Source organism: Homo sapiens, chromosome 2, assembly GCF_000001405.40.
Source record: "Homo sapiens chromosome 2, GRCh38.p14 Primary Assembly".
Taxonomy (NCBI): domain Eukaryota; kingdom Metazoa; phylum Chordata; class Mammalia; order Primates; family Hominidae; genus Homo; species Homo sapiens.
The window spans coordinates 66,282,283-66,291,053 of record NC_000002.12 but is presented as its reverse complement, the minus strand read 5'-3'; the positions used below and the strand labels follow the sequence as shown (position 1 = coordinate 66,291,053).

Below are 8,771 nucleotides of genomic sequence, written 5' to 3'. Positions count from 1 at the left end.
CAAGCAAACAAACAAAAAACCCCACCAAAACTGTATTGAATAAGGAGTTCCATTGAATCATACTGATTTGGAGTCTATCAGAAAGGGAAATTTTGTTACTAAATTGTCTTTTTTCCTGGAATGAAATTATCCTATGATCTCTCTAATTCTTAGTAAATACAAATAACTAAAATTGACTCAAGAATAGCAGTAAAGGAAAATGGAATCATAAATAAGCAATCAATTCAAAAATGCTGTCAAAGAATTGCTTTTGAAAGAGACTTTAGCTCAGATTATTATTCCAAGTGATTTTTTTTCAAAGTTTTAATGAAAATTCCCATTGTATATGAACTGTTCTAAAGCAAGGGGAAAAAAGCCATTGCAATTGATCTTTCAAGGCTAGTGCATTTCTGATACCAAAACCTAACATAAACAACATAAAAAGAAAGCCACAAATCAATCTCACTCATGAACTTGTGAATAGTGAGAAGTAATAATTCTAAATAAAACTTTAGTAAATTGAACCTAGTTGTATATTAAAGATTGATTCACTATGAACAAACACAGCTTATTAAACAAATTAAAACTGTTTTACTATAGAAATTTACTAACAGTTCAAAGAAGAAGAAATATGACAAGGTGTATAGATCCTGAAAAACATTTGCTGAAATTGAATATTCATTAATAATTCTTAGAAATCATAGATTCCTAAGCATCTATGAATAGAGAAAAATTTCCTCAATTTTGTATGGAAAATCTAACACAAACCAAAAGACAATGCCATTTGGGAGAATAAAATGGGAAAGGCATTATTACTAATATCAGGAACAAGAGAGGAGACCGATTAACACCACTGATATTTAATATTGTTCTGGAAATTCTGGCAAATGAAACTGATGATGAGGAATGAATAAATGTATTAGAAAGGCATATAAGAGGTATCACTATTGTGAGTTATAGAAATGTCTACCAAAAACAAATAAGCAATTTCCAAATACATTAAAAAAATTGCATTATAGTAAAAATTGCAAATATTGCATTTGTAATATAGATGCTTAGAAAATATTCAGCAGAAAGGTTATATTTACAATAATAACAACTAAATAAAAATTACCTAGGAATAAATTTATGAGATAATTTGGATCTATTTGGGAAAAAAACTATAAAACTTCACTGAGTTTCCTAAAAGGAATATTAATAAATAAAATGGTACCCTATATCTATTTGTTGATTCAATATTATAAAATTTAAATTTCCTCAAATTAACACATAAGCTTAATGAAATTACAAAAAGAACACAAATTATAATTCTTATTTTATTTTGGATGCAAGATTTGATAAAATAAATCTAAAATTTATCTGAAAGAATAAATGAATAAAAATTCCCAGGAAATTTTGTAAAAAATGTAACAGGAGAATATTTGTGTCATACAATATTAAAATACTTTAATTCTAAAATAAGAAAAGTTTTTCTACTAATATATGAATTGACAAACAGATTTCTGGAAGGAAATTAAGTGTTTAAAAATAATATTTGAGAAAAGGTAGCATTTCAAGTGAGTAGAAAAAGAAAAATGTTTTTTGCACAAAACGGTTCTCAGATAGTAGATTAACTATTTGAAAAAAGTTCCAAAAGGAATAATAATTTGATTATCTTTAAAGAACAATCATTTAATTTGGATCACAGATATAAATGTAAGAGATAAAAATTATAAAATGTTTAGAAGAAAACAGGCATAAATCTTCATGACCTTGGATTAGGCAATGGTTTCTTAGATATGACACCAAAAGCATAAGCAACAAGAGAAAAAGGTAAATAAAATGCACTTCATCAAAATTTAAAATTTTCGTGTTTTAAAAGACATCATGAAAGAGTAGGAATGCAATCCATAGCATGGAGAAAGTATTTGCAAATTACGTGTTGGATCAGACTTGTATTAATGATATGTAAATTATGTTAAGTGAAATAAACCAGTGCAGAAAGACAAACATCACATGTTCTCACTTACTTGTGGGATCTAAAAATCAAAACAATTGAACTAATGGATAGAGAGTAGGAGGATGGTTACCAGAGGCTGGGAAGGATATTGGGGGGATTGAGGGGAGATGGCTAATGGATAAAGAAAAATAGAAAGAATTAATAAGACCTACTATTCGATAGCACAACATGGTGACCATAGTCCATGATAACTTAACTGTACACATTAAAACAACCAAGAGTGTAACTGGATTGTTTGTAATACAAAGTATAAATGCTTGAGGGGAGGGATACCCCATTCTCCATGATGTGATTATTGCGCATTGTATGCCTGTATCAAAACACCTCATGTACCCCATAAATATATACACCTACTATGTCCCTACAAAAATTATAAATTTTTAAAATAGAATATGTAAAGAACTCATTCAATTCAACAACAAAAAGGCAAGTAATCCAATTTAAAAATGGGTAAAGAGTTTGAATAAACCTTTCTCAGAAGAATGTGTACAAATGGCCAATAAACACGTGGAAGATGCTCAGTAAGATTAGTCATTAAGGAAATAAATGCCAGGTGTGGTGGCTTACACCTGTTATCTCAACACTTTGGGAGGCTGAGGCGGGTAGATCACTTGAGTTCAGGTGTTCAAGACTATCCTGGGCAACATGGCAAAGCCACATCTCTACAAAAAAACACACAAAAAATTAGCTGGGTGTGATGGTGAGTGCCTGTGGTCGCAGCTACTCAGGAGGCTGAGGTGGGAGGATCACTTGAGCCCAGGAGGTCAAGGTTGTAGTGAGCCATTATTGCACCACTGCACTCCAGCCTGGGTGACAGAGTGAGATCCTGTTTCAAAAACCAAAAAAAGGGAAACAAAATGAAAAACACAATGAGATACCACTTCATACCCACTAGGATGGGTACAATATAAAAAGTATAATACTGTATAAAGATGAACAACAAGTATTGGTGAAAATGTGGATAAATTGGAACATTGCTGGTGAAAATGTAAAACAGTGCAATCACTTTGGAATACAATTTGGCAGTTCCTCAAAAAATTAAACATAGAATACCATGTGCCCTAGAAATTCCACTCCTGTGTATATAGGCAAGAGAATTGAAAACATGCTCACACAAAACCTTGTGCAAGAATCTTCACAGTGGTATTATTAATAATAGCCAAAATGGAAACAACCCAAATGTCCATCCAATGATGAGTACAGAAACAAAATGTGATCATATCCATACAATGGAATATCATTGAACTATAAATATGAATGAAGTACTGACCTATGCTCTGATATGGTTTGGATATTTTTCCCTTCCAAATCTCATGTTGAAATATGATCCCCAGTGTTAGAAGGGGGCCTAATGGGAGGTGTTTGGGTCATGGGGGCAGATTCTTCATGGATGGCTTGGTGCCCTCCCCACAGTAGTGCATTCAAGTGAGATCTGGTTGTTAAAAAGAGTCTGGTACCCCTCCTTTTCTCTCTCTTGCTCCCTTTCCTGCCGTATGACATGCCAGTTTCCCTTGCCTTCCACCATCAGTGAAAGCTTCCTGAGACCCTCACCAGAAGTAGATGCCAGGGTCATGCTTCTTATACAGCCTGCAGAACTATGAGCCAAATAAACCTCTTTTCTTTATAAATTGCCCGTCCTTAGGTATTCCTTTACAACAATGCAAAAGGACACAGGCTACAACATGGATGAACCTTGAAAACATTATACTAGGTGAAAGAAGCCAGATACAAAAGGACAAATCATGTGCAATTTCCCTTGTATGGAACATTTCAAATCAGAATATCTGAATATAGAGAAAATAATTTAGTGGTTGCTGGGGGATAGGGAGAAAGGGGGATGAGGAATGACCCTTAATGGGTACAGGTTTTATTTTGGGTATTGATGAAAATGTTCTGAAATTAGACAGTGGTGATGGTTGCACAACTCTGAATACATTAAAAACTACATAATTGCATGCTTTAAAGGAGTGAATTTTTGGTATGCAAGTTTTATTTCAATAAAGCTGTAATTTTAAAAATGTTATACAAAATACATCACTTTTAGTGAATCAAAAGAAAGATAATAGTATTGACAATTATTTGTACATGCTGTTCCTTGGAGTTCTTGAGGAGGATATTCTCCCATATATATCAGTAACAATACAAATATTTGTATCCTTTCACCTAACATTTATATGTAATATTCTATACAGTTAAATGATTACACCTCCCCCACCCCACATTTAGTGTACATGTGTTCATTGAAAAACTGGAAATATGGTTTTTGCAATGGAAATTAGTTAAGCATTTTTGCATATAGCTCCATGCTAGAACTTCATGTGATCACTGAACTCATATTGTAAAAGAATATTTAATGACTGTGTAAAATGCTTGTGATATAATGTTCAGTGAAAAAAAAGCAACATACAGAAGTTTCTGAATGTAGATCCTTATTTGTAAAAGAGAGATAGCCATTAATAGACAGAGGAGAGAGAGAAAAGAAAAATGAAATTAGTCACTCCAGAATTGAAAAATTCATCTTGCAAAATGTGAAACTTAGAAATGGGCAAAATAAAGTATTCTAGGCATAGTCTGTGTCACACAACAGAGAAGGACTGTTAGATGCCATGTTTCAGACTTGGTATTCCACTCACTGTGCCTATTATTGAACTTCTTTTTCCAATTTTATTCAATTCAGTTCAATTAAACAAATATTTACTAAGTACCTATTAGATGGATGGAAGACCTTGTTCTAGGTGCCATAGCAGAAGCAGAGATGAATAAGTAAGTAGATAAGACAGAGAGAAGCATTGATCAAGCTGGGTAAGAAGACAAGAGAACAGAGATGGGCTCAGGGTTAAGGATAAGATTGAGGGTACAGGTGCAGCTGTTGTGAGAGAAAGGAAGAAAAGAAAGATGGTGTTGCTGTGGTCATTTGAAAGATTTCTGAAGGACAGTGAGACCATTATTATAGCCCACCTGTAGCCAAAATGGAGAAATGGAGAAATGGCTGGTGGAGCAGCCCAGGTGAAACTACTTTTAGAGTCTTGCCCTTGGAGGCTGAAGTCATGGGGATGAAAACAAGAGAAGAACTAGGAAGAAAGGCTGAGCCTGGCATGTGGTAGGTATTTAATAAATACTTACTGAATGAATGAATGAACTACAAGTGTAGAAAATAAAAGGTACAACTGGGGATAAATTATAAATCAGTCACATGGACCTTTTAGAAGAAAATTTGTTGGGGGACAGGGAAGGCCCAAAGAGCTAGAAGTGGCGGTAGTGAGCTAAATGCATCCAAACCCTGTCCTTAGTTTCTGGGCCTGAAGAAGAGGTAGAAAGAGATTTTCCCACTGGAAAGTTTTGCCAAGGAATGATACGGTTAGAGGTATGTTAGGTGAGGCTGTAGGGAAAAGCCTTAGAAGGAAATATTGGAGATGGAGGCCTGCCATGGGGCCCTAGGGGAGGACTTTGATCCAGATTGGTCAGAAAAGATGGGGGTGAAGGGCTGCAGGGAAGAGCAGTGAGAGGATGGGAGGGAGAAGGAGCTGGGAAAACAGGCTAAGTAGGCCTGTATGCAGGAAGAGAGTCAAAGAAAGAGAACTGAAGTCAATTCTCACTTACCTTGATCTGCCTCCTAACCCAGAGCTTGCCTAGTTGGATGAGACCTCTTAGATGCCATCTGCAGTGAGAATGGAATAAGATGACCAATTATGACATGATTTTTGTTTTTAATGCACACACATGCAGTAAGTGACATTTCTAGGTGAATAATTAAATAATCTCAGGTCCTAGAGATAATTATGTCTGGTATCCAGCACACAGAGAGGTAAAGAAGTAACTTGCCTACAATTTCTCAATGATAGAGCTAAGACTTAAATCTAGGTCTCATGACTCCTTGACCAATGCTTAAAATAAAATAATTAAATTTCTAAACACATTTTTTCAGATAATTGTTTAAAATGTCATGTTGGAGAGTATAAAACATATTATTGAAACCAATATGGATTGCATTTCTCAGTTTCCTTCCATTTACCATATTTTGTACTATCATAGGAGTAGACTAGAGTCTTAAAAGAGACTTTAATAGTTGTGATGATATCATACTGCTTACTACCTAATACCCTGTTCTAGGCTATGTGTTGAAAAATTGATTTTGTGATAATTCTTTCCTGTGTCTAATCAGGTCGATAAATTAAACTTACAGGTCTGTTATTCTAGGTCATTCTTTTTTCTCTAAAAAGAGCATTAGCCATTGGGCCTTCCCAGATATTACTCTCAAGCTTGCATTTGCCAGTTCAGAATATGATATCTGAAGCTCTTTGCTGCACATTGATGATTTCCCTTCCACAACCCTGGTTGCTATTATCGCCTTTGTTATTTCCAAAGACAGTGTGCTATGATAACAATTTGGTTGGGAAATGTATTTGGTATGCCAGGAAATCCCATTCTTTCAATGATTTTTAAATTTTCTTCAGGGTTATCTATAATAAAAATAAGGTTTCCAGACCACACACATCAAAAATGAAACATTATTATTTAGAGCATGTGTTTGGTTTAAAAAAAAATCTGGGGTGATTTCAGTACAAATCCTGCTACTGTGATTTCCTATTTAAACTAAACAGATGAGTTCTCCCTTTCAAATATGCCACTGAATTTCAGCCCTGCCCTGGTCCCAAGAAATGGGGAAAAGAAGTATCTATCTACCTTTTGAAATATGTGCCAACCATATCCCTGGCCCCTTGATATGGTGTTTCCAAAGAGTGTTACTTCAACCTGGAGTGGCTATCAGCACTAGTGATTAATTACTGGATTATTTACTAAAGTTCTTTTCCTTTCTTCTCTCCTTCTGAAAAAGATGCAGAGGACAAGTGAAGAAAAGCCAGACATGTGTATTCCATTTGAAATCCATGATTAAAAAGCTTAAAAATTCAAACCAACATAAAAAACTGTTTTATTTTAATACTCTGGAAGGTTTCAGTGAACTCCATTATTTTCACTCACTATTTGCTTGAATAATTTAGGCAAGAAAGCTAAATTATACATAAAGTGTACAGTTAGAAGAAAAAGTTCATGCACAGCCCTAGGCTATAGCCTTCCCCTAATGATGTCTGAAGTCAGTGAAAAGAACTCGTTAGACTGAGAGTAATTTCTCAGGGTTTAATTTTTTTTCTTAAAGCAATAATGTTCTTATAAAAATCTGACAAATAATACACTAAAAGAAAGCCACAAAAGAGTCTCCAGTTAAGGCCTTAGCCCCTGTAAGCTTTCATTTAATTTCATGTATAAAAGTTGGCTTTCCATACACCACAATAGATGATTGTTAGCAATCTCGAGTGATCTGATTCAACAAGGAAAATACACGTCTTGATTGAATCGAGTTGCTATTAGGCCCCATCAGAATTCTGAAGTTACAGAGTTAAAAGGAGATGCTTCAAGCTAAGAGACAAACCCGAATCCACTGTGGAAAGAGGATCAGCACCCAATCAGTGCACCATGATTTGAACAAGTGGTTGCCACTTGGTAGGGTATTGTACTTAAGGAGCTCCACATATCATTAAAGATTTATGGATTCACTAAAATGTCCACATTCCCTTTAAGCATAACAACAGAGACTCTGGCTGCCGCAAGATGACAGGAATATCAAAATGTTACCATTCTCACCTTTGATTTCTGAGTTGCCTTTGTTCTTTCCTTAAAGTTACACAATTGTAGAATTTGAAGAATCCGGTTCCACCCCTTCATTTTATAGATGAAGAACCTGAGACCCAGAGAGGTGAAATGATGAGCTCAAGGCTATACAGCTAATGTGTTTGCTCATTCATTTCCAAATGTTTATATATTTAGAGAGAGAGACAGAAAATAATTCCAAGTGGAAAGAACACCATATGTAAAGGTGAAAAGGTAGAAACTGGCATGATGCCTTGGGGAACAAGAGGTGCTGATTATTGTCTGGTCATATTCCCTGTCCCCATGCCCCACCCCCTATCTCCCAAGACACTTCTAAGCAAATCTACACCAAGGCAGACTAAGGTGGCAGGTGAGAGCACAGATTACTTGAGATTGAATCCTGGCTCTGCCTTGTAATAGCTGTAAGGTCTTAGACAGTTCACTTGCCTCTCTCTGATTTATTTTGCCTAACAGTAAAATGGTGGTGGTGGTAATAGAACCTACTTCTTAGGGTTGTTTTGAAGATCACATGGGTAATAATGCATCTAAAGTGTTTACAAACAATGTCCAGCACATAAAAGTTACATGAACATTTGTTGTTTTATTAATATTAATGGGCAATAAACTCTTACATATGAATTAGGTCTCCTGTCCATAGCTGATGAGACAAGGGGTGGGCAGTTGACCCAGGTATACCAGCTGTCAGGTGGCCAATGTTCTACAACTTGTGTGGCCTCAATTTGAAAGGATAAATTGGGCCATCAGAGTGGGACCATCAGGAATTATGAAATGGGCAACCAAAGCCTTGGGCCAATTAACCAAGAGGCTGAGAAAAGCAAATGATTAAAAAGACTCAGGGCTAGAACAGATAATAGGGTCCTAAGTGGAAAATGAAGTTACCAAGTTTTGAGGAAGCCAATTGGTTGAGGTAGGAGAATGGGGCATGTGTGGGTGCATACTCATGTGTGCATGTGTATACATGTACACACACACACACACACACACACTCAGTTCCTGAAAACTTTCTATGTTTAATCCAATTCCATGGGTAAACAACTCTCACTAAACCTTCTTTTCTTAGAGGTAACTGGAGTGAATCTCAGGCTCTTACAGTCAGAAGAAACTGCCAAATACTAACAGACAGTTC

At 35.5% G+C, this 8,771-nt stretch overlaps 1 long non-coding RNA gene across 1 annotated transcript; it reads right to left on the bottom strand.

Moving 5' to 3' along the window:
- Positions 1-3,946: 3,946 nt before the first annotated feature.
- On the bottom strand, positions 3,947-7,717 carry LOC107985812 (uncharacterized). The gene is made up of 3 exons (XR_001739193.2): positions 7,619-7,717; positions 6,662-6,803; positions 3,947-5,636 (listed from the first exon to the last, which is right to left on the bottom strand). It is a non-coding gene; the product is annotated as an uncharacterized LOC107985812 (long non-coding RNA).
- Positions 7,718-8,771: the final 1,054 nt, after the last annotated feature.